Genomic DNA, 25,532 nt, shown 5'->3' with positions numbered 1-25,532 from the left:
GTCTTGAAAAGTTGCTGTAGTTATTTTTGATTGGTTCATACTCTAGTCTTTCTACGTAAGAGTGGTTTACACTCTACAGTTACAGTGTTATAATAGTCTGTGTTTTTCTGTGTCCTTACTATTAGCAATGAGTTTGGTACCTTCTGATGATTTTTTACTGTTCATTAATATTCTTTTTTTTCTGACTGAAGTAATCCCTTTAGCATTTTTTATATGGCAGGTCTAGTGTTGATGAAATCCCTCAGCTTTTGTTTGTCTGGGTAAGTCTTTATTTCTCCTTCATGATTGAAGGTTATTTTCACCAGATAGTATTCTAGGGTAAAAGTTTGTTCCCTCAGAGCATTAAATATGTCATGCTTCTCTCCTGGCCTATAAGGTTTCTATTGAAAAATCTGCTGCTAGACATATTGGAATTCCTTATATGTTATTTCTTTCTTTTTTACTTCTTCTTTCTTCTCCTTCTTCTTCTTTTGGCTCCTCTTAGAGTCCTTTTTTTATCCTTGACCTTTGGGAGTTTGGCTATTAAATGTCTTGAGTTAGTCTTCTATTGGTCAAACCTGCTTGGTATTTTATTTTTATACTTAGATATTGTTATCTTTCTCTAGGTTTGGGAATTCTCTGTTATTATCCATTTGAATAAACTTTGTAACTCTATCTTTTCTCTACCTCCTCTTTAAGCCCAATGACTCTTAGATTTGCTCTTTTAAAGATATTTTCTAAATCCTGCAAGCAGGCTTTCTTCTTTTAATTCTTTTTTAAAATTTTTTCTCATCTGACTGTGTATTTTCAAATAGCCTGTATTCAAGATCACTTATGCTTTCTTCTGCTTGATCAGTTCTGCTATTAAAAGACTGATGTGTTCTTCAGTGTGTCAGTTGCATTTTCATCTCCAGAATCTTTATTTGGTTCTTTTTTAATTTTTCAAATCTCTTTGTGACATTTATTTGATAAAATTATCAATTCCTTCTCTGTGTTATCTTGAATTTCTTTTAGTTTCCTCAAAACAGTGATTTTGAATTCTCTGTCTGAAAGGTCACATATCTCTTTCTCCAGGATTGTTTTCCAGTGCCTTATTTAGTTCATTTGGTAAGGTCATGTTTTTCTAGATGGTATTGATGCTAGTAGATTTCTTCAGCACTGAAAAGTTTGTTATTTATTGCAGTCTTCTCAGTCTGGCCTTGTTTGTACCTGTCATTCTCAGGAAGGCTTTCCAGGTGTTTGAAAGAACTTGAGTGTTGTGATTTAAGTTGTATCCACATTAGGGGGCACCCCAAGCCTAGTAATGCTATGATTCTTGTAGCCTCATGGAGGTACCACCTTGGTGGTCTTGGGTAAGATCCAAAAGACTTTTCTGGATTACCAGGCAGAGACTCTTGATCTCTTCCCTTACTTTCTTCCAAACAAATGGAGCTGATTTCTCTCCACTCTAAGCTACGTGGATCTAGGGTTCTGGTGACACAAAAACCTCTGCAGTCACCATCACTAGGACTGTGCTGGGTCAAACCTGAAGCCAGCATAGCACTGTGTCTTGCCCAAGGTCTGCTGTAATTACTACCTTGCTACCACCTATGTTTGCTCAAGGCCCTGCAACTACAATTAGCAGCTAGTGAAGCTATCCAAGTTTATATCCTTCCCTTCAGTGAGGTGAGTTCCCAAGGCCCTGCATGGGTCCAGAGGTGCTGTTCGAGGACCAGGGACTAGAGTCGAAAACTTAAAAAACCTACCTGGTATTCTATTTTAGTGTGGCCTATCTGACACTCAAATCATGAGATGCAGTCCTTCCCATTGTTTCCTCCCCTTTCCACAGGCAGAGAAGTTTCATCATATGGACTATACCACAACAGGCCCTTAGGGAGTACTTACTGCCAGGCTTCTATTGATTTTATCTTCAGGCCCAAGGGCTCTTCAGTCAGCTTGTGGTGAATGCTGCCATGCCTGGGATTCACCTTTCAGTGTACTGAGCAACCCTCAGGCCCAGGGCAGGTCCAGAAATGCTATAGTCTCATAAGGTAAAGGGATGGAGAAAGATCTATCACACAAATTTAAAACAAAAAATAGCAGAGATCACTATTCTTATATTACATAAAACAGTCTTTAAGTCAGAAACAATAAGAAAAAGGACCAAGAAGGGCATTATATAATGATAATGTGTTCAATTCAACAAGAAGACCTAACTATTGTAAGGATACATGCACTCAGTATTGGAGCACCCAGATTCAAAAATCAAGTACTTTTAGACCTAAGAAAAAATATTGACAGCCACCAATAATAGTGGGGGACTTCAACATCTCGCTGACAGCATTAGACAGATTATCGAGGCAGAAAACTAATGAAAAAAATATGGACCTAAATTTGACATTTGATCAGTTGTATCTAATAGACATCTACAGAATAATCCACCCAACAACCTCAAGATGTACGTTGTCATCTGCACATGGAACATACTCTAAGATTGACCACATTCTCTGTCATAAAGCAAGTCTCAGTGAATTTAAAACAATTGAAATTATACTAAGCATACAATGGAATAAAAATAGAAATCAGTACCAAGAAGATCTCTTAAATTCACATAAATACATGAAAATTAAACAACTTTCTCCTGAGTGACTTTTGGGTAAACATCAAGATTTAGGCAGAAATAAAAAAAAATTCTTTGAAATAAATGAAGACAGAGACAAAACATACCAAAATCTCTGGGATGCAGCAAAAGCAGTGTTAAGAGGAAAGATTACAATGCTAAGCACCTCAATATAAAGATCTCAAATTAACAACCCAACCTCACACCTAAAGCAACTAGAACAAAAACAAACTAAACCCAAAGCTAGTGGAAGAAATGAAATAACTGAAACCAGAGCATAACTAAATGAAACTGAGACTCCCAAAATTATACAAAGGTTCAGCAACATACAAAGTTGGTTCTTTGAAAGGATAAATGAGATTGATAAACTGCTTGCTACATTAAAAAAGAAATAGAGAGAAGATCCAAATAAGCACAATTAGAAATGACAGAGGTAACATCACGACCAATCCCACAGAAATACAAAAGATCCTCAGAGACTACTGTGAACATTTCTATGCACAAAAACTGGAAAATCTAGAGGAAATGGATAAATTTCTAGAAACACACAACTTTGGAAGATTGAACAAGGAAGAAATCAAAATCCTGAACAGACCAATAATGAGTAATAAAACTGAATAAGGGATAAAAATACCTACAACAAACACAAGCCCTGGACGAGATGGATTCACAGCCAATTTTACCTGATGTACAAAGAAGAACTGCTATCAATCCTACTGAAACAATTCCAAAAAAATTGAGGAGAGACTCCTCTCTGACTCATTCTATGAAATCAATATCATCTTGGTGCCAAAGTCTGGCAAAGACAAAACAAAAAAAACTACAGGCCAATATCCCTGATGAACATAGACACAAAAGTCCTCAAAAAATACTATCAAACTGAATGCAGCAGCACATCAAAAACTTATTCACCCTGATGAAGTGGGCTTTATTCCTGGAATTCAAGGATGGTTCAACATATGCAAATCAATAAATGTAATACATTATATAAACAGAATTAAAAACAAAACCCATAAGATTATCTCAATAGATGCAGGAAAAGCATGCGATAACATCCAACATGCTTGCATGTTAAATACCCTCAACAAACTAGGCATCAAAGGAACATACCTCAAAATAATAAAAGCCATCTATGATAAACCTACAGCCAATATCATAGTGAATGGGCAAAAACTGGAAACATTTCTCCTAAGAACTGGAACAAGACAATAATGTCCACTTTCACCACTACTATTCAACGTACTGCTGGAAGTTTTAGCTGGAACAATCCAGTAAGAGGAAGAAATAAAAGGCATCTACATAGGAAAAGAGGAAGTCAGATTTTCTCTCTTTGCTAATGTACTTGGGGTGGCTCCTAATGCAGATACAGCTTAAATTACAACACTCCAGTTATTTCAAATACCTGGAAAGTCTTTCCAAAAAGGACAGGTACAAACAAGGCCAGACTGAGAAGACTACAATAAATACCAAACTCTTCAATACCTTTTTTATACCTATAAAACCCTGAAGATTCTGCCAAATATCCCTAGAGCTATTTTTTTAAATAGTTCAGCAAAGTCTCAGGATACAAAATCAACATGGAAAAATCACTAGCATTTTAATACACCAAAAAAAAAAGTTCAAGCTGAGAACCAAGTCAAGAATTCACTGAAATAATTAGCCAAGAATGGAAACATGTGGCTGTGGTCCCAGTTGTTCTGCAGGCTTGCATCCAGGAGATCGGGGTCCTGTTAGCCATGTTCACACCACTGCACTCCAGCCTGGGTGACAGAATGAGACCCTGTCTCAAAAAAATGTGTAAAAAGGAGAATGTAATCCCATTTACAATTTACACACAAAAGTACCCACTAATACATATAACCAAGGAAGTGAAATATCTCTACAATGAGAACTAGAAAACAGAGCTGAAAGAAATCGGAGATGACACAAATAAATGGAAAAACATTCCACATACATAGGTTGGAAGAACCAATATCATTAAAATGTTCATACTGCCCAAAGCAATCTACAGATTCAATGCTATTTCTATCCAATTACCAATGTCATTTTTTCACATAATTAGAAAAAATGATCATAAAGTTCATATGGAACTAAAAGAGCCCAAATAGCGAAGGAAGTCCTAAGCAAAAAGAATAAAGCTGGAATCATCATGTTACCTGACTTCAAACTATGCTACAAGGCTGCAGTAAACAAAATGACATGGTACTGGTACAAATGTAGACACAGATCAACATAACTGAATAGAGACCTCTGAAATAAACCTGCCCACATACAGCCAACTGATATTCAACAAAGTTTACAAAAATAAACAACTGGGAAAGGATACCCTATTCAGCAAGTGCTTCTGGGAAAACTGGCTAACCACATACAGCAGAGTGAAATTGGACCCTTGCCTTTCACTACATACAAAAATTAACTAAAAATGGATTAAAGACTAATGTGTAAAACCTAAAACTATAAAAATACTAGAAGAAAATCCAGGAAATACTCTTCTAGACATTGATCTATGCAAAGAATATGACTAAATCCTTAAAAGCAATAGCAACAAAGACAAAAATTGACAAGTGGGACCTAATTAAACTAAACAGTGTCTTCACAGCAAAATAAACTATCAAGAGAGCAAACAGACAACCTACAGAATAAGAAAAATTTTATTTGCAAACTGACAGAGGTCTAGTATCCAGAATCTATAAGGAACTTAAATCAACAAGCAAAAACCAAACATCTCTATTAAAAAATAGGCAAAGGACATGAGCAGACACTTCTCAGAAGAAGACATACAAGTAGTCAACAAACATGAAAAAATGCTCAACCTCACTAATCATCAAACAGATACAAATCAAAACCACAATGAGGTACCATCTCATACCAGTCAGAATGGCTATTATTAAAAAGTCAAAACATAACAGATGTTGGTGAGGTTGTGAAGAAAAGGAACACTTATACACCGTTGGCATGAATGTAAATTAGTTCAGCCCCTGTGGGAAGCAGTTTGGAGATTTCTTAAAAGAGAACAGTCATTCGACTTAGGAATCTCATTACTGGGTATATACCCAAAGGAAAATAAATCATTTTACCAAAAAATACATGCATTTGCATGATTATCTCAGCACTATTCACCATAGCAATGACATGGAATCAACCTAGATGCTTATCAATGGTGGATTGGATAAAGAAAATAGGATACATATACAACAGCCATAAAGAGGGTGAAATAATGTTCTTTGCCGCAACATGGATGCACCTGGAGGCCACTATCCTAAGCGAATTAATGCAGGAACAGAAAACCAAATACCATATGTTCTCACTTATAAATGGGAGTAAAACATACGGTACACATGGACACAAAGATGGGAACAATAAACACTGGGGATTCCAGAAGGAGGGAGGAAAGGCGTGAGGCATTGGCTGAAAAACTACCTACTGGGTACTATGTTCACTACTTGGGTGACAGAATTGTTAGAAACCCAATACTCAGCATCACACAATATACCCATGTAACAAACCTGCACATGTACCCCTGAATCTAAAATAAAATTAATGAAAATAATAATCCAAAAACTAAACAAAACAAAGCAAAACACATATTCTTCAGGACTCAACTTTGAATTATTTTCAGTATATACTGAGAAGTGGAATTGCTGGATAATCTGGTATTTCTATTTTTAACTTTTCGAGGAGCCACAATACTGTTTTCTACAGGAGCTGTCCCTTTTCATATTCTTTTCTGAGACTTAATTTTTCTGAGGGGATTCTTTATTTTTTTGTTTCAAGCTTGTTTATATTTGCTCGATAAAGCATTTTGATGATGGCTACTTTAAAATCGTTGCCAGATAATTCTAAATATCTGCCATATCTGTGTTCGTATCTACTAATTACATTTTTCTCATTTCATTTAAGATATTCCTAGTTCTTGGTATATGTGGTTTCCTAGTAAAACTTGACCATTTTGTGTATTAGATTATGAGACTCCACATCAGACTTAAATAATATGTCTTGATTGACTTCTGCAGACAATAAATACTCTGAAAGAAAGAGGATGTTGCCACCTTATTGCAGATGGGAGTAGAATTACAAGTTCCTCACTTGACAGCTGCAACAGAAGGGGTCCCTTGTTACTGCTGGGCAGGGTTCTGGGCTGTGGTAAAAATTACGATTTTCCACAAGACTATTCTGACACTACACAAGCAAGGAGGGGATCCTCATTTCTTCTGAGGTGAGTAAAAGTTCTGGTACCCCACATTTCCTCTACTGACACCATAGTGGTGTAGGTGGAGGCTCATTGCTACCCAGCAGGAATGAAGGTCTCAGCTTCTTACTTGGCCATCTCTGACACCACTCTGATGGTGGGGTTGGGACACATTGTTACAGTATGGAGAGGGTGAAAGTCTAGACAACTCACTAGCTTTTGTTCCTGTGAGTATAATAGGGTCACAGTTTTTTTTCTGTGGTGTTGGCTATAGTAGAAAATTTATTTTCTAAGAGTTTCTTGTCTTGTTGGGCTGCCTCTTTCCTGATCCTTTGTCTAGGGAACAGATTTTTGTTGGCTTTTGTTTGTTTGTACCTACTGGCATTTCAGGAGTTTTGGCTTCTGTAGTACCCATTCTTGCATCTTTGAGGCAAAAAGAAAACCCATGGAACTGACCACCATGTCATTCTCTGGGTCCCAAGGTCCCTAGTTAGTCTGCTGCTTCCCTCCACCTTTAGGAGTCTTATTATGTTCGTTGTTGTGTATAAAGTCCAAGAGTTTTAGTTTTACCCTGCAAGAGAATTAGGGAAACATACATGTGCTCCATCTTCCTAGAAGCAGGCTCCTGAATATTTGAGAAGTTAAGACTGAAAACAAAAACAAAAACAAATTTTTGGAAGATTCTGAATGCAGTGTAAATGAGATTGTGAAGGTACTCATGGGGACAAAAATCTAGTGTTTAAATAAAACACTAGATATACCTTTAAGCTTCCTTGATACCAAAGCAAAAATAACATAATGACTTATATTATTGCTTTTGTTTCATAAAAGGAAGCAAATCTGTTGACTAGAAAGTTTTTCCTGGATCTACATTTTAGGAGAGATTGTTATGTGTATTCCTTGTAGAGAGAGGCTTTGGTTAAATTCATGATATCTTTAAGCTGAGATTTTTCAAAGATATTAGATTATTTCTTATAGGTGAGCATTTCTTACACAGAGCATCTATAAAAGCTAAAATCTTAACTAAGGCAGGGCAGGCAAGCCCCCACATTGGAGCTTAGCTGAAGAGGGTTTTTGGTTTTGCCCAGGAAGGAATTTAAGAGTGAGCCGGTAGTGTTAGACAGCAACTTTTATTGAAGCCGCAGGTACAGCAGCAGCAGAGGTATTGCTCCTTGCAGAGCAAGGCTGCCCCATAAGCAGTTGCCTAGAGTAGCAGCTCAAAGGCATGTCTGCAGTCATATTTATACCCACTTCAATTGTATGCAAATTAAGGGGCAGATTATGCCGAAATTTATTGAAATAGGGTGATAACTTCCAGGTCGTCAGATTATTGCCATGGGAAGGGGTAGTAACTTTTGGGTGTTGCCATGGCAATGGTAAACTGACAGGGCATAGTGGTGGGCATGTCTTATGGAAAGCTACTTCCACCCATTCCCTGTTTTAGCTAGTCCTCAATTTGGTCTGGTGTCCTAGCTCTGCCTCCAGAGTCAAGTTCCACCTGCTAACACATAACCTATTTGGTAATGACACTTCTAATAGTAGTTAAGCTAATAAAACCTAAGTATATTATGTTTTGGTATCTATCTTATTGTTTAGAGGTCAAAGATATAGAGAAACGGATAGTAAATTAGTTTCTCCTATTCTCTCTCTCAAATAGTGCATATCTTATAGGAATATTTTACAAGGGTAGCATTGCCTGGAACTTCTAAGTCTTTTTGATGAATGTATGGAGCGAGTATAATCTGACATATTATTTCAAGAAATCTATAGTATACATTTGATATAGATATTGTTTTAATACTATTATATCTAAGACAAAATTTCCTGATTAAATAAATTCTGTTTTCTGGAAAAGTGTTTCATCTGTGGATGATGTTATAGATGGGGTACAGTGAGAAGAAAATACATTTTAGAATACCTACTACATTTTAGACATTGTACTTGAAATTCTCTGTATATAACTTTTAATTTTTAAAATAATTCTGTGGAGTGACTGTTATTATTCTAATTTTACAGGTAGAGAGACTGAGACTAGGGGATATTGAATCATTTACCCGAGGACACACTATTAGGAAGTGTCAGGGTTAGGATTCTATATCCAGTCCTGTCTCGTATTCCTCTCTTACATAGACTCTGTGCTTCAGCCAATCTGCTTAACCGAAGATGAAATTAAAAGATAAAATGGATGCAAAATACTTATTTAGTAAGAAAGCAGTGAATGGAGGTGAGAACACATAGCAAAATTTAAATCAGTGAGTTCAGCTTCTTAGCAGCAGCTTAAATCAAAATTATTATGAAGGAATTTGAAAGAACTGGTTCAATGATAATTTTAACTTTCTGTAAATTTCATTTTACAAACTTTATCTGGTTTAGCAAGAATCATCAACTATTTATGGGACTTAGGGGTGTCTTATGAGATGTCAGAAAGAGTTTGGTCATCTTTGGTATAAATGTATACTACCACTTGTATTTGGTAAAATGCAAAACATACCAAAGTGTATGTATTTGCAGTGCAATTATTTTAAATAATTTGATAATGCACTAACTAAAATATGAATCCCTAAAGCTTTAAGCTCAGAGATAATCTTAGTTGGCCCAATCTCTTATTTGATTGGAAGGAGACTGAAGGAGCTGATCATAATCCTGAAAGATACAATCCTAAACACCATAATCCCAAATGTTGAAATCTCAAAAGATTGAAATATAATACTGGAAAAAATAATTTTAAAAAATTTAAAAGATATTTCCCTACATTTTAAAGGACATTTGAGAAACATAAAAACATGACAAAACATTTCATAGGATATCTTAACAATAAAATAGGCAATAATAACATATGTATTTTTGCAAGCATAAACACTTAAGTATACTAACAACAGTCACATCATTGTAACAGTTATGAGCAGATGAATCATATGCATAAAGAAATAGGTGAAAAGGGAAATGTATAAACATGCATCACTGTGGTTGGTAATTGTGTGTACCCAGCTTTATAATGTGTTCATCTGAAATACCATGACAAACAACCTAAGTCGTTTGATGAGACAGATCAAAAACTACAATGGGTCACCACTGTGTACGTAGTCATCCAAAGAGCTGAGATCTTGAGAAATTTTATATTTCACAAATGTACGTGTACAAAAAGGGCATTTCTTCATTTACTGAGGAAATTTCAACATTTTTATATACACATACAATGCTTATATACAAAGTCAATATTGTGATAATGCACTTTCATGGAGTCAAATTTGCAAAAAATGCATAAAACAAATTAGAACTCTCTAAAGGTCTCCACACAATTTATTCCTTCGGTATTGGAAATGATGTGAAGATGAAATACATAGCATAGTGAATTGTAAAAAAATAATGCTGAAATTTGAAAATAGTGAAGAAAACTAAACGAACGGCAAAGAAAATTTGACATGAGAATGTGTATTACAGGAATAGATTATGGGCAATTGCATAGGGATAATCCATAAGAGCTGGACTGACATGAGGCAAATTATCCTGTGATTGTGATTTTCAAGATTTTAGATGTTAGGGATTTTAGAATTTAGGGATTTGTATTTTGGGGGACTTTGATCTTTCAGAATTTCAACATTCAGGATTATGGCATTTGGGATTGTATCCTTCAGGATTATGATACAAATCTGGGAGCTGATACTCTGAGAGACCAAATGACTTAAGCTCTCAAGTGACTAGCAGTTAATCCAGGACTAGAGTTGGTTGTTCTGAATTCCAGTTCAGTATTTCATATTAAAATAATCCAAAGACATTCCAAATGCAGTTACTTTTCACTATATTTCATGGATTGGTTTCAGGACCTTATGTGTACCAAAATCCTTACATACTCAAGTCCCACATCTGCATTTGATTGAAAACAATCTGTGTATAAGTGGACCCATGCATTTCAAACCTATGTTACCTATGTTGTTGAAGGATCAACTGCAATTTTATTTGTCTAAAGATAAGATTTTGCCTAATTTTAAATGTCATTTAAAATTTGCAATTGTTTAGTCTTATTAGCTTAATGTTTTACAATGCTATAATTTGATAATTGCACTTGCATATCAGGGCCTAAGAAAATACAGTTAAAAAGCATGAAATGTCTTACCTAGAAGGACTTTATATAGTTAGCATAAAGTCCACCCAAATGGGAACTCTTAAAGGAAAGGAACATATTTCAACTATTTTTTAATTTTCTGCACTTGTCTTAGGTCCTACTTGAATTTTAGTCGAATGTGTGAATAAACTGTAATACTTTTAAATATTAGAATTGAACAAGACCTTAAGAAATCGTGAAGTCCAACACCTTAATTTTAATCATAAGGAAACTCATAACAAATGACAGTATATGGCTTAAGGTCATGCAAACTAAAAATGTAATGTACTTACACAGACTTTTCTAGTGCAATAAAGACCCTTCCCTTCTCAGGCCATAGATCACACAGTAGTCCTGCATTGCTCATAGTTGACGTGGATGGTGCCCTCACAGTTGTATAGATGCACATAGTGTCTTGGTGCATGAGATAGATAATTACTGCCCCTATTTTACAGATGAGGAAACAGGCCTAAAGAGAAAGGGACTTACCCAAGCTAGAGACAAATTATGTGTATGAGAACAAATATTGAACCTCTTCTATCTGACAGTTTAGTAGTTTTTATTTCTTACAATACTCCAGGCTGGAATAGTTCATTTGATCTTTCATGTCTAACCACTTAACACTTTCTAAACAACACATAAAGCAGATACCCAAGATTGCATACTATTTATAGTTCTATTTCTGGCTCACATTGTCTTTCTAACTACTCACACTTTCTAACTGGCTCACACTGTCTTTCTAACTACAACCTTGACTCACCTTCATGGTAGAGAAGTCATGGTTGACTTTTACGTTTGGCTGCCTTCCCAATTCAACCCCAATTCCCTGTCACCTCCTACCTTAGTTTCCTTCCACCCTAGCACATCCCTTTTTGTCATGATTAGCTATTGGGTATGGTATAATTTTCTTAAGATTTAATGGGATTACTCCTGTATGTCATCAGATTTTTTTCTCTGACTTTAATTTTGAACTTCTCTTAGAATTATCTTGCCACTGAGTAAAATTTCCTTCTCTGCACACTATCTCTGGATGATTCATCTTTGCCCATCACAAGGGTGTGCATGCCAACACCTACACATGCAGGTGAATCTGCTCCAGTGATATATTTTAATTACAGATTTAGTCAGAAGTAATTAAGTCTTTCTGTAATGAGGATACGAACCCAGTTTTAAAAATTCATGCTGCTTCAGATATCCCATGTGTGGTTTGTGCCACCCTGGTTTTCAGAGTAAGAAGGAGCCCCTAGTGTAGTTAGATTAATTAATAGAAGGAGAATAAACTCAATGGAGCCAGAAAAGTGTAAAAAAATTGTGATTTCCCCTCTATATCTCATGCAGATAAAATGGCCATCCTGGGATTGTGGCAGGGGATGGCAATTGCATTTTAATTACAGGGCTGATGGTTTCGGCACTGCACCAGATGGAAGGGCCTTTTTAGAGCAAGGCCCATTCATTGCCTCTGTCGATTTTCCCTCTTATGCTGGTTAACAAAACCTGGCAAGAGATAAAAGTGATGAGGCTGCATTTTGATCCGTTGGATTTTAATTCCTATTCTCTTCTTTGACTTGTGAGTTTCAGTCAAATCTTGATTCCTGTGAAAAAGATGCTCCTTTAGACACTTTCTGTTTTCTGTACTGCCTATGAATGGTAGTAGCTTATTTTTGGGGAACCCAAATTCTATAAAATGATTCTCAAGAACATAGATTGGAAAGGATGAAGTCCTGAATTAACACTAATGAAGGCCAAACCCGTGAGGAATTTTTAGAATGTTATCATACAGGTAAACAGCCAGATCATTGGAAAGCCACTATTGATCCAATAATTGAAATGATTCAGATATATATGAACCTGGGATTGCTGTGAAATTACATTCTAAGGCACAAAATGCTACTCTACCATGGGCCTTGCCACGCCCAGGTATATAGTTCTGAAGCAATAAAATGAGTCATTGGGAATCATCTCAAGACTCTTTTACTTTCATCTAAACCATTTGATTTAGCAATCTTTCTCCCTTAAGACGCCTTCTTCAACCTTTCTCCCCACAGAAAGATCATTTGTTATCTTCTCAGTATAATTTGGTGTTTTGAGGGGAATAAACATCAGACTTTCACAGATGTCAGAGCCTTGATTTATAGGTAAACTATTTGTTCTAATTATACAGAATGATTCACAGCTTATGCAAATGTGTGATTTATTACCAAACCACCTCTTTATATGTGGGCTCCATTCCCTTTAGTTTGTCAGTGAAGTGCTTCTTAGGAATGCTTGTATTACCTACATTGGGCTGCTGAATTCCTTTTGTCTTTCTCCTGAAAGCCTAGAATAATAATGTTTACTTTCATTCATTTGACAAAAATTCAAGGAGCAATCTCTGTGCCTAAGGCACTGGGGATATATAAAAGATGGTCGCATTTGTTGATATGGAGGAGATAGGGAGAGGACAGATTCTATATCACTTTAAAGCTCCTTATCTCCTGTGAGCCCCACAGTAGTCTGGCAGGGTAGGTAAGGCAGCTCTTATTCTGACAGTTTTACAAATGAGGACACAGGCTCTAAGAGGAAAAGTGACCTGCCTAAGATCTGTTAGTATAGAAAGTATAGGAATCCAGTAAGAATGGTCCATAATTCTTGGCACCCAGAACCAGCTGACATGTCTGCGTGTGTGTGTGTGTGTGTGTGTGTGTGTGTGTGTGTGTGTGTGTGTGTGTGTATGTAGGGGTAGGGTAGGGAATACAGTCAGGGTTGGGAGATTATTGTTTCCCTACATGAAATGACAGAATAGGGATTATATTTTCTCAAAATAGCTCCACAGTGTATGTACCTCACCCAGGGCCTGACATTCTACTTTGTTTGGTTTAAGGCATCAAGGCTGGTCTTAAAATGCCAGTGTTCTTTGTGAGGGAAGTGCATGTTACTTGTTATTCATTCATTTGTTTGTTCATTCAGAAAGGCTTAATAGAAACCTATCCAGTACCTGGTCTTGAGCTAGGTACCAGGAGAGGAGTAGAGGGTGGTAGTTGTTGGGTGGGGGTGTGATACAAGCATCAGTTTTGTCATAGTTTCTCTCATCATGGAGCCCACAGCCTTCCTCCCATGTTTCCATTTACTGACATGCTTGACCTACTATGTTCAAGCTACTGAGAATTTCCACACAGGCAAATGATTTTTTTTTCTATTCGTGGCTTGGGTATCAGCCCTTCTTTTCCTCCTCTGCTGATATGTGCCTGTGTTATCTCACTAGAGATTGGGCTCTTTGAAATGAGACATATTGTGTTCCATCTCTGTGTTTCCAGTAAGTTCTCAACAATGTCTGATCTAAAAACAAAAGAACACACTAATGCAATGTTAAAGTCGCCTTTGTGTTTTTCTCTTAAAGCTTTCTTCATTTTGGGCTTGGTTTTGTTTCTCCTTGTTCTCCAGAATCAAAGAAGGTGTACTCAGAACTAGAATCTCTTCTTTAATTCCAAAATATCACAAAGGCTTCCTCCGTTATTTGTAATCCTTGCCAAAGTTCCTACCCTCATCTTGTAACTTCTTCACAGATAAAGAAGGAGTAAATAAATTAATGTGAACATAGTGTAACATTGGGCAAGCCTCCCTGGGACTTAGTTTCTTTCTCTGTAAAACAGTAATAATCTCCATTTAGGTCTAAGCATAATCAAGTGAGAGTATATATATTGCCAAGTGGTATTTCAAAATTCAGCCCACGTGTCAGCTCCTACAGGAAGTTTATTCTGACCTCTACTTTCTATGCTATCTTAGTTGCCTTCTCAGTTTTGCAGAGTTCCACAGTTTCCCTCTGTTATGTACTCAGGACATTATATTCTCTGATTCTGTTTGTCTTTCTCTTCTATTACACAGTCTAAATGCTTTAGACTGTCTCTCAGTCATCTTTGTATTCACTCAAATTAATCAACATGTGTTTATTGTGGACCTATTAGGCAGCAGTCACTGTACCAGATGCTGGAAATAAGACCAACCCACAGCCTCTGCCCTCAGGAAGTTATAGTACTTAGCTTAGGCTCAGCACAGAATAGGATGAATGAACGCATGAACAAATGAAACTACTTAGTAAATGTAGTGTTATTCAGATGTTATTTATACTCTTAGCACACTCAGTTGAAATGAGGTTTTGATTCAATGTCATCATTAATCTTCCCAGAGTTTTCTGTGCCAGTGCTCTTTAAATTAATATGTGGCTCTCCCCTTGTTTGTGAGTTACTTATTATGTCAGAATTAGGTTACACAGAATCCCTTTCCCAGCTTAATTACTCCCCATCTCCTTTTCTAATGAATGTCTTTCTTTACTGATAACCTTTAACTTGTGTATGAGAGAAAGCCTCAGAAAGTAGCAGATGAGAAGGAACATCCTTTTTATCTTAAAAGAGACCCACTTTTCTCTGAAGATCCATGAGTAATACAAGGAAGCTTTATGGGCAGTAAGCTGCTGGGTCCCTAAATTTTCTTTGAAAGAGAGTGAGCAGTGCTTTACATTTTTCTATTCATAGTAAAATGTGGTCGGTCATAAATTTATCTTCCAAACCTGAAATTTTTAAGTGGAAGAGTACTATTGATAATTATTCCTGGATAACTTGCATAAACTAGGACTGTCTCTGGAAAACCAGGGTATATATGTTCTCCATAATAATGGCAAGGTAGCAGAGTGTCAGGCATGGGCTAGAGTCAAGTCAATTTGGGGTCCAATCCTGACTCTGAAACTTAATACAACCGTGGGCAAGCAAATAACTACATCTATTTTTCCATCTATAAAATGAAGCTATTACACCTATGTCCTATGTATATTGCATTAATTGAGATAATACATGTAAAGGTCCTGGCCCATGGAAGTTCAAAGAACATTAGTTTCCTTTCTTTTTAACTTATTCAATAGCAGCTCTGCCATTAACTCAATGTGTAACCTTAGACAACTTTCCCCATTTTCTTATTAGTCAAATGACAGGATTAGAATAAATGATCTCCCTAGTCTTTATTTTACCTAGATATCTCAGAATAGTCCATTTCAAGTAACCTTATTGCCATAAACCTCCGAAATATCTTGGGGATCTTGAGGTTTATATGTCCCAGATGTCCTTGACATGAAAAGCAGCACAAAAATTCTCCAACAGACTATCACTCACTTAAGTTCTGAAATTATAATTATCAGGTTATCAGGTCTTTCTCAGTTCTAAGTAACATTATGTCCTCCTCTCTTAGAAACAATATAGCCAAAGCCCATGACTTCAACATTTGTAACCCTGTAACATCAGAAAAATTGGGATATTCCAAAGTGACATGAAATAGTCTTTAATGCTTTTAATCCAAGCTTTAAGCTATTTTTTGAATGAAGAGCTTGTGGCAGCTGATCCATTTCCCTTTGAGAATTCTCTTCTCCCTAATAAATAGCCCAAATTATTTAAGCTTATTTTTCTAAGGATACACCAACAGTCATTTAGTCACTGATGGTTCATCTTGCTGGAGTCTGGTCAGCTGGTCTGTATTTCATTTCAATGTGGTCAGTGTGGTTCCTCACTCTCCTACCAATCTGTCACCAAGTCTTATTGATTCTATCTCCCTAAGTTATATTAAGATGGTGCTTCTTTTCTATTCTTTCTGCTCTACAGTTCTATACTTACGTTTAGTTCAAATGCACAGTAAATAAATACTTAATACATGCTACCTACCAGGCAGTGAAGATACAAAGATGAATAAAGAAGTAGTCTCTGCCTTCAATGAGCTATTATCATTGAATGTTTGAACTGGAAATAGCCTTAGCATTCATCTAGCCCAAATGCCTGATTATATAGACAAGGAAATTGAGACTCAGAAACAGAAAATGACTAGTACAAAGTCACACAGCTAATATTGTGGAAGATGGTGTGGTGATTCCTCAAGGATCTAGAACTAGAAATACCATTTGACCTAGCAATCCCATTACTGGGTATATACCCAAAGTATTATAAATCATTCTACTATAAAGACACATGCACATGTATGTTTATTGCAGCATTGTTCACAATAGCAAAGTCTTGGAACCAACCCAAATGCCCATCAATGATAGACTGGATAAAGAAAATGTGACACGTATACATAATGGAATACTATGGAGCCATAAAAGAGGATGAGTTTATGTTGTTTGCAGGGACTTGGATGAAACTGGAAACCATCCTTCTCAGCAAAGTAACACAAGAAGAGAAAACCAAACACCGCATGTTCTCACTTATAAGTGGGAGTTGAACAATGAGAACACATGGACACAGGGAGGGGAACATCACACACTGGGGCCTGTTGGTAGGGTGGGGGGCTGGGGGAGGGATAGCATTAGGAGAAATACCTAATGTAAATGAAGAGTTGATGGGTATAGCAAACCATCATGGCAGATGTGGTGCACATGTACCCCAGAACTTAAAGTATAATAAAAAAAAAAGAAAGGAAAATTCTTCAGTGAAATAGATCGCATAAATAAAAAAAAAATCACAACTTCCGGAAATCAAGGAGACACTTAGAGAAATGCAAAATGCACTGGAAATTCTCAGCAATAGAATCATACAAGCAGAAGAAAAACTTCAAAGCTTGAAGACAAGCTTTTTTAATTAATCCAGTCCATCAAAGACAAAAAAAGAATTTTAAATGAACAAAGCCTGCAAGAAGTTTGGGACTATGTTAAGCATCCAAACCTAAGAATAATTGGTGTTCTTGAGGAAGAAGAGAAATCTAAAAGTCTGGAAAACATTATATTTGAGGGAATAATCAAGGAAAACTTCCCCAGCCTTGCTAGAGATCTAGACATCCAAATACAAGAACCTCAAAGAACACCTGGGATATTTGTTGCAAAAACATCATCACCTAGGCACATAGTCATCAGGCTATCTAAAGTCAAGATGAAGGAAAGAATCTTAAGAGCTATGAGACAAAAACGTCAGGTACCCTACAAAGGAAAACCTGTCAGATTAACAGCAGATTTCTCAGCAGAAACCCTGCAAACTAGAATGGATTGGGGTCCTATTTTTAGCCTCCTAAAACAAAACAATTATTAGCCAAGAATTTTGTATGCAGTGAAACTAAGCTTCATAAATGAAGGAAAGATACAGTCTTCCAGATAAATAGATGCTGAGAGTATTCACCACTCCCAAGACAGCACTACAAGAAATGCTAAAAAGAACTCTAAGTCTTGAAACAAATCCTCAAAATACACCAAAATAGAACCTCCTTAAAGCATGAATCTCACAGGACCTATATAATAATAACACAATGAAAAGAAAAAAACAAGGTATTTGGGCAACAAATAGCATGATGAATAGAATAGCACCTCACATCTCAATCCTAACGTTGAATGTAAGTGGCCTACATGCTTCAATTAAAATGCCAATACAAAATGGCAAAATGGATAAGAATTCACCAACCAAGTTTCCACTATCTTCACGAGACTCACCTAACACATGAGGACTCACATAAATCTAAGGAAAAGGGCTGGAAAAAGATATTCCATGTAAATGGATACCAAATGTGAACAGGGATAGCTATTCTTATATCAGACAAAAAAACTTGAAAACAACAGTAGTTAAAGAAGGCAAAGAGGGACATCATATAACGATAAAAGGACTAACCCAAAAGGAAAATATCACAATCCTAAATACATATGCACCTAACACTAGAGCTCTCAAAGTTATAAAATAATTACTACTAGACCTAAGAAATGAGGTAGATAGCAACACCGTAATAGTGGGGAACTTTAATACTCCACTGACAGCACTATATAGGTCATCAAGACAGAAAGTCAACAAAGAAACAAATGGACTTAACAGATATTTACAGAACATTCTACCTAACAAGTGCAGAATACACATTCTATTAATCAGCACATGAAACATACTCCAAGATGGACCATATGATAGGGCACAAAACAAGTCTCAGTAAATTTAAGAAAATCAAAATTGTATCAAGTACTCTCTCAGACCACAGTGCAATAAAATTGGATAAGTAACCTGTTCCTGCATGATCATTGAGTCAACCATAAAATCAAGATGGAAATTTAAAAAATTATTTGAATTGAAAGATAATAGTGACACAACCTATCAAAACCTCTGGGATGTAGCAAAAGCAGTGCCAAGAGAACTATTCATAGCAATAAATACCTACATCAAAAAGTCTGAAAGAGCACAAATAGACTTTCTAAGGTCACACCTCACAGAACTGGGGAAACAAGAACAATCCAAACCCAAAGCCAGCAGAAGAAAAGAACAAAGATCAGAGCAGAACTAAATGAAATTGAAGGAAACAAACAAGAAATACAAGAAATAAATGAGACAAAAAGCTGGTTCTTTGAAAAGATGATGAAATTGGTAGACCTAGCAAGATTAACCAAGAAAAGAAGAGAGAAGATCCAAAAAAAATCTCAGTTAGAAACGAAATGGGAGATACTACTACTGATGCAGCAGAAATACAAAAGCTCAGTTAGAAATGAAATGGGAGATACTACTACTGATACAACAGAAATAAAAAAGATTATTAAAGGCTACTATGCACACTTTTATGCACATAAACTAGAAAACCTAGAGAAGATAGATAAATTCCTGGAAATATACAACCCTCCTAGATTAAACCAGGAAGATATAGAAACTCTGAATAGACCAATTACAAGTAGCGAGATTGAAATGGTAATTTAAAAATTGCCAAACCAAAAGAAGTTCAGGACCAGATAGATTCACAGCTGAATTCTATCAGACATTCAAATAAGAATTGGTACCAATCCTACTGACACTATTCCACAGGCTAGAGAAAGAGAAAATGCTTCTTAAATCATTCTATGAAGCCAGTATCACCCTAATACCAAAACGAAAGAAGCAATTAACAAGAAATAAAAGAAAAGGAAAGAAAGAGAAAGAAAGAAAAGAGGAAGGAAGGAAGGAAGGAGCCAATATCCCTGATGAACATAGATTCAAAAATCCTCAACAAAATATTCGCTAACTGAATCCAACAACAAAACAAAAAGATAATCCTCCATGATCAAGTGGCTTTCATACCAGGGATGCAGGGATGGTTTAACATCTGCAAGTCAATAAATGTGATACACCACATTAACACAATTAAAAACAAAAATCACCTGATCATCTCAATAGACACAGAAAAAGCATTTGACAAAATCCACCATCCCTTTATGATTAAATCCAGCATCCCTCAACAAAATCGATATAGAAAGGACATACCTTAAGGTAATAAGAGCCATTCATGACAAACACACAGCTAGCATTGTACTGAACAGGGAAAAATTGAAAGCATTCTCCCTGAGAACTGGAACAAGACAAGGATGCCCACTTTCACCACTTCTATTCAGCAAAGCATTGGATGTCCTAGTCAGAGCAATCACACAAGAGAAGGAAGTAAAAGGCATCCAGATCAGTAAAGAGGAAGTCAGATTGTCACTGCTTGCTGATAATATGATTGTATACCTAGAAAATCCTAAAGACTCATCTAAAAAAATACCTAGACCTGATAAATGAATTCAGTAAAGTTTCAGGATACCAAATTAGTGCACACAAATTAGTAGCACTGCTATACAGCAACAGTGACCAAGCTGAGAATTAAATTAAAAATTCAACCCCTTTAACAATAGCAAAAAATAAAATAAAATACTTAGGAATATACCTAAACAAGGAGGTGAAAGACCTCTGTAAGGAAAATTACAAAACACTGCTGAAAAAAGTCATAGATGACACAAACAAGTGGAAACACATTCCATGCTAATTGATGGGTACAATCAATATTGTGAAAGAGACCATACTGCCAAAAGCAATCTACAATTCAATGCAATTTCCATCAAAATTCTACCATCATTATTCACAGAACCCGTAAAAACAATCCTAAAATTCATATGGAGCCAAAAACGAGCCAAAAACAAGACTAAGCAAAAAGAACAAATCTGGAGGCATCACTTTACCTGACTTCACCCTAAACTATAAGGTCATAGTCACCAAAACAGCATGGTAGAGGTATAAAAATAGGCACACAGATCAATGGTACAGAACAGAGAAGCCAGAAATAAAACCAAATACTTACCGTCAATTTATCTTTGGTAAAGCAAACAAAAACATAAAGTGGGGAAAGGACACCCTATTCAACAAACGGTGCTGGGATAATTGGCAAGCCACTTGAGAAGAATGAAACTGGATCCTTATGTCTCACCTTGTACAAAAATAAACTAAAGATGGATCAAAGACTTAAATCTAAGACCTGAAACTATAAAAATTTTGGAAGATAGCATCAGAAAAACCCTTCTAGACAGTGACTTAGGCAAAGATTTTGTGACCAAGAACCCAAAAGCAAATGCAACAAAAACAAAGATAAAAAGATGGAACCGAGTTAAACTTAAAAGCTTCTGCACAGCAAAAGAAATAATCAGCAGAGTTAACAGACAACTCACAGAGTGGGAGAAAATGTTCACAGTCTGTACATCCAACAAAGGGCTAATATCCAGAATATACATAGAATTCAAACAAATCAGCAAGAACAAAAACAATCTGGGCTGAGATAATGAATAGACAATTCTCAAAAGAAGATATACAAATGGTTAATGAGCATATGGAAAAATGCTCAACCTCATCAATTATCAGGGAAATGCAGGTCAAAACCACAATGCGATACTATCTCACTCCTGCAAGAATGGCCATAATCAAAAAATCAAAAAATAATAGATGTTGACATGGATGTGGTGAAAAGGGGACACTTTTACACTGTAGTTGGGAATGTAAACTAGTACAACCACTATGGAAAACACTGTTAAAGACCTTAAAGAACTAAAAGTAGGTTTACCATATGATCCAGCAATCCCACTACTAGGTATCTACCCAGAGGAAGAGAAGTCATAATAAGAAAATGATACTTGCACATGCATGTTTATAGAGCATAATTTGCAATTGCAGAAATATGGAACCAGCCCAAATGCTCATCAATCAATGAGTGGATAAAGAAAATGTGGTATATATATATAGCATGGAATATTACTCAGCCATAAAAAGAAACAAAATAGTGGTATTCACAGCAAACCAGATGGAATTGGAGACTATTATTCTAAGTGAAGTAACTCAGGAATGGAAAACCAAACATCGTATGTTCTCGCTCATAATTGGGAGCTAAGTTATGAGGATGCAAAGGCATAAAAATGATACAATGGACTTCGGGGCTCAGAGGAAAGGGTAGGAGCGGGGCGAGGGATAAAAGACTCCACATTGGATACAGTGTACAATGCTTGGGTGATGGGTGCACCAAAATCTCGGAAATTGACACTCAATAACATTCATATAAGCAAACACCATGTGTTACCAGAAACCTGTTGAAATAAAAAATAAATTTAAAATAAATAAATTGCCTCACACAGGAAAAATAAATAAATGATGGAAACTACTTATAATGTAATAACTGACACTAATGCCTTAAAATTTCAAGCCAGGACACTTGGGGTAGTTGTAATAAATCAAAAGTAAAATATGCTTCATTAAACAAAGGCTCTCAAAGAGCCTCTTGAACCTCTAGAAATGGATGGCCAGAGGGCCTTGCAGCTGTTCGTGCATACAATGATTCATGGTCTAAAATCCTGATCAAATGTAGGTTTGCAGGAAGTAAAGAAGGCCTGACAAGGCTCTGTTTAAATTCTATTTCTAGGCCTGATTTTGAGAGAGTTCCTCTCCAAGATGAAGGGAGTATCCCTAGCCTGAGTTTCAACACTCACTCAACACTATCTGGTGCTTACTGAGTTGACTTCCAAATTAAAGACTTGGAAGATGAAGGTGTGAGCAGAAAGGGCGGGAAGCTCATTTAAAAGAAAAGCAGGACTCCAGTATTTTTATCTTTACTTTGATTGATTGATAATGTGTGATTTGAATGTTAGCCAGTAGGCTCTCTTGGAAGTTGGAGATGTAGTAGTGAATAAATCAAAGTTCTTGCCCTCATTATCTATAGACAATGCTGCAAAGAAAAGAAAAAGTAAGGTAGAAATAATAACTGGTTAAGTAAGGGAAAGGGAACTATTTTAGAAAGAATGTATGCAGAGAGTATAGCCAGTACCAAGACCTTGGGAGGTAAAAGTTTGATGTGTTCAAAAACAGTGAGGTAAGTGTGGTTGAACACAATGAGCAAAGGGAAGGTAGCAGGAGATGAGGTATAAGAGACTGGCAGATAAGAATATAAGAGATGGCTAGATAATATGAAGCCTTTTAGGCCATAGCAAGGAATGTGGATTTTCCTCTAAACATAATGTGAAACTAGACATAAGCTGATTTATAATGCACTATAAGTGGGACAACAGTAGCATAGAGAGGTCAATTTGGGGACTGTTTCAGCATTCTATGAAAGAAAAGATAGTAACCTGGACTAGAGGAGAAGCAATGGAGATGGTAAGGAAATTGTTCAGTTTGGAATTTATGTTAGATGTTGAATTTAAGAGAATCTAGAGAGAGTGCTAGAATTAAGGTGGTAAAATTATGATCAGCCAAAATAACAATAACTAATTTCTATAGTGCTATATATTTTACAAAGTGCTTTTTAAAATGCCACTTCATTTTAACCGTTAGACAAATATTTTCACCCCAGCTTTATAGATGAGGTAATCCAAAGTAAGAGATATTACTTGATTTTCTCAAGGTCACAGAAATAGTAAGTAGAGAAGTTTTAACAGACACTTAATTTTGCCTATGTCTGAATTCTGTGCTCTCCTCTCTGTACTTCATGACATCAGGTAAACATATATACATACTTTTCATACATACATACATATGTACATAGATTTGGAGATAAATGCAGTGACTAAGCAGTGATTAAGCACAAAAGCTTTGATATCAGGCTGCCTGTGTTTGTAACCACCTTTTAGCTAGATGATCTAGGAAAAGTTACTTAACCTCTCTTTAAAATAGAGTAATAATATTACCTACTATAGAGGGTTGATAGTGATAGAAAATATCTTAGTTCAGAGTCCGGCCCAGAGAAACAATTCAATAAACTTGGTGAATATGATTATAAATGTTTGCATAGCAAGACAGTAAATTCATACTTATTAAGGCATGCCATACTATTTTAGCAAGTTACTGTGGCTTTAGTAACATCATGTATATAGAACAACCACACTGGTCTCCATTGTGTAGCTGGACACTAACTTATGAGACTTATGAGACTCACCTAATGACAAGGACCACGTTATACTCACTTCTGTAACCCTTACCAACCCTCACCCTAGCATTCAGAAAATATTGTACATACTCCCTTAAGTACTTAATGAATTGAAATTAAATTCATTTGAAGGGACAATGTAGGCAGTTAATTATGTAGTATAATTTGAAGGACTCAAGAAAACTCCTCAATCCCAGCCCAAATTTTCTCTTAGTGTTAAACTTCTACCATGGAAGAACAGAATCTCAAAGTTGAAAAGAATACAGGAAAGCATAGAATATATTCATAAAGCCTTTAGCACCACATAGAATCTCCTCTGTATTGCCCAGCCTCTGCCTGGTTATCTTCAATTATAGGGAAATCCTGACTTCACAAGGAAGCCTGTTCCACATTTGGCCGCTCTTGGTATGAAGGTACTTCCCAGCACTGACTTGGAGTCAGCTTCCTTTTAACTTCATTCAGTAAACTTGGGGAACCATAAATAGTATCTGTGCAATTGAACAACTTCTCCAGGAGTTTATTTTGTTTCTGTTTGCCATCTCAATGCTCTGCTGGTTCCCTTCTTTTTCCTCAGGTTATGGAATATCGTTGTCTGATTGTTAAGCTTTCTTTGCCTTCTGTCACAAGTTGTAGTTTTTCCTTAAAAATTCCATCTCCTGAATTTCACATCTCCAGCAGCTTCAAGAAACCTGCATTTTAGGATTTAGTTTTTTTCTCAAATTATTCCTCCATGCTGGCTGCTTTGAATGGGGGTACTGGAATAAATAGCTCCGGATAAATTTTAAAATCACTAATGAATTTTGGAATGCCCATGGACTGGTCATGTTCTATTACCAGAATTTAGAAATTTAGAAAGCTGAAAGGAATCAATGTGAGAGGCAGGACACTTGGCCTCTTGCTTAGATCTGCCTTCCATTTATTTTATAATATTGGAAAAAGCTGTCTTCTCATAGGTCCCAATTGATTCTGTTATCTGTAAAATACACGGCTCTGAGTTTAATATTCATTACCTCCTCTCTGATTCTATGTAAAAGGTTTGAGAAATTTTTAAACCTTCTATCAAGTTATATTAATTAAATGTTCTTTATCTGATTGGGCACATTTGAGGAGGCTGTAACTTTTTTCATTGTTTCATTTATGGTCAAACTCTGACATAAAAGAAAATGAGAAATTTTAGTAGCAACATATCATTAACTTTATTGCCTTGAGAGCATGAGAAAGATTCTATTGTATTTATTTTATTGTTTTCCTTGCTTTTAGCTAAAAGTTGATTGAAGGGGATGAAGTAGGGTTGAATAGAGAGGGCTGAGGCTCTTATTTAGGAATATTTCTGGAAAAGTGTCTTTGCCAGGTGCCATATCATACCATAACTTGGTAGCTGGGTAGTTCTATTAAATCTGGGGTACATCTGCTGTCTGTGAAAGAGTCATTATAGAGGATATTTGTGGCATAATATTTGCAAACTTCTGATTGGAATTTAACAGTTTTATTTTCCCATTGTTAATGGC

The 25,532-nt window shown here is 36.1% G+C and overlaps 1 protein-coding gene and 1 long non-coding RNA gene across 11 annotated transcripts in view; both read left to right on the top strand.

Moving 5' to 3' along the window:
* AGBL4 (AGBL carboxypeptidase 4) overlaps positions 1-25,532 on the top strand; it is a 1,501,444-nt gene that overhangs the window by 545,165 nt on the left and 930,747 nt on the right. The gene's annotated exons all lie outside the window — the stretch shown is intronic.
* AGBL4-IT1 (AGBL4 intronic transcript 1) overlaps positions 6,705-25,532 on the top strand; it is a 97,885-nt gene continuing 79,057 nt past the window's right edge. Inside the window, exons 1-2 of the long non-coding RNA NR_046839.1 lie at positions 6,705-6,794; positions 8,784-8,991. This is a non-coding gene — a long non-coding RNA (AGBL4 intronic transcript 1). The remainder of the gene's footprint in view (positions 6,795-8,783; positions 8,992-25,532) is intronic.

This window comes from Homo sapiens, chromosome 1 (genome assembly GCF_000001405.40).
Source record: "Homo sapiens chromosome 1, GRCh38.p14 Primary Assembly".
NCBI lineage: Eukaryota > Metazoa > Chordata > Mammalia > Primates > Hominidae > Homo > Homo sapiens.
This window is presented reverse-complemented; position numbering and strand designations above follow the sequence as displayed.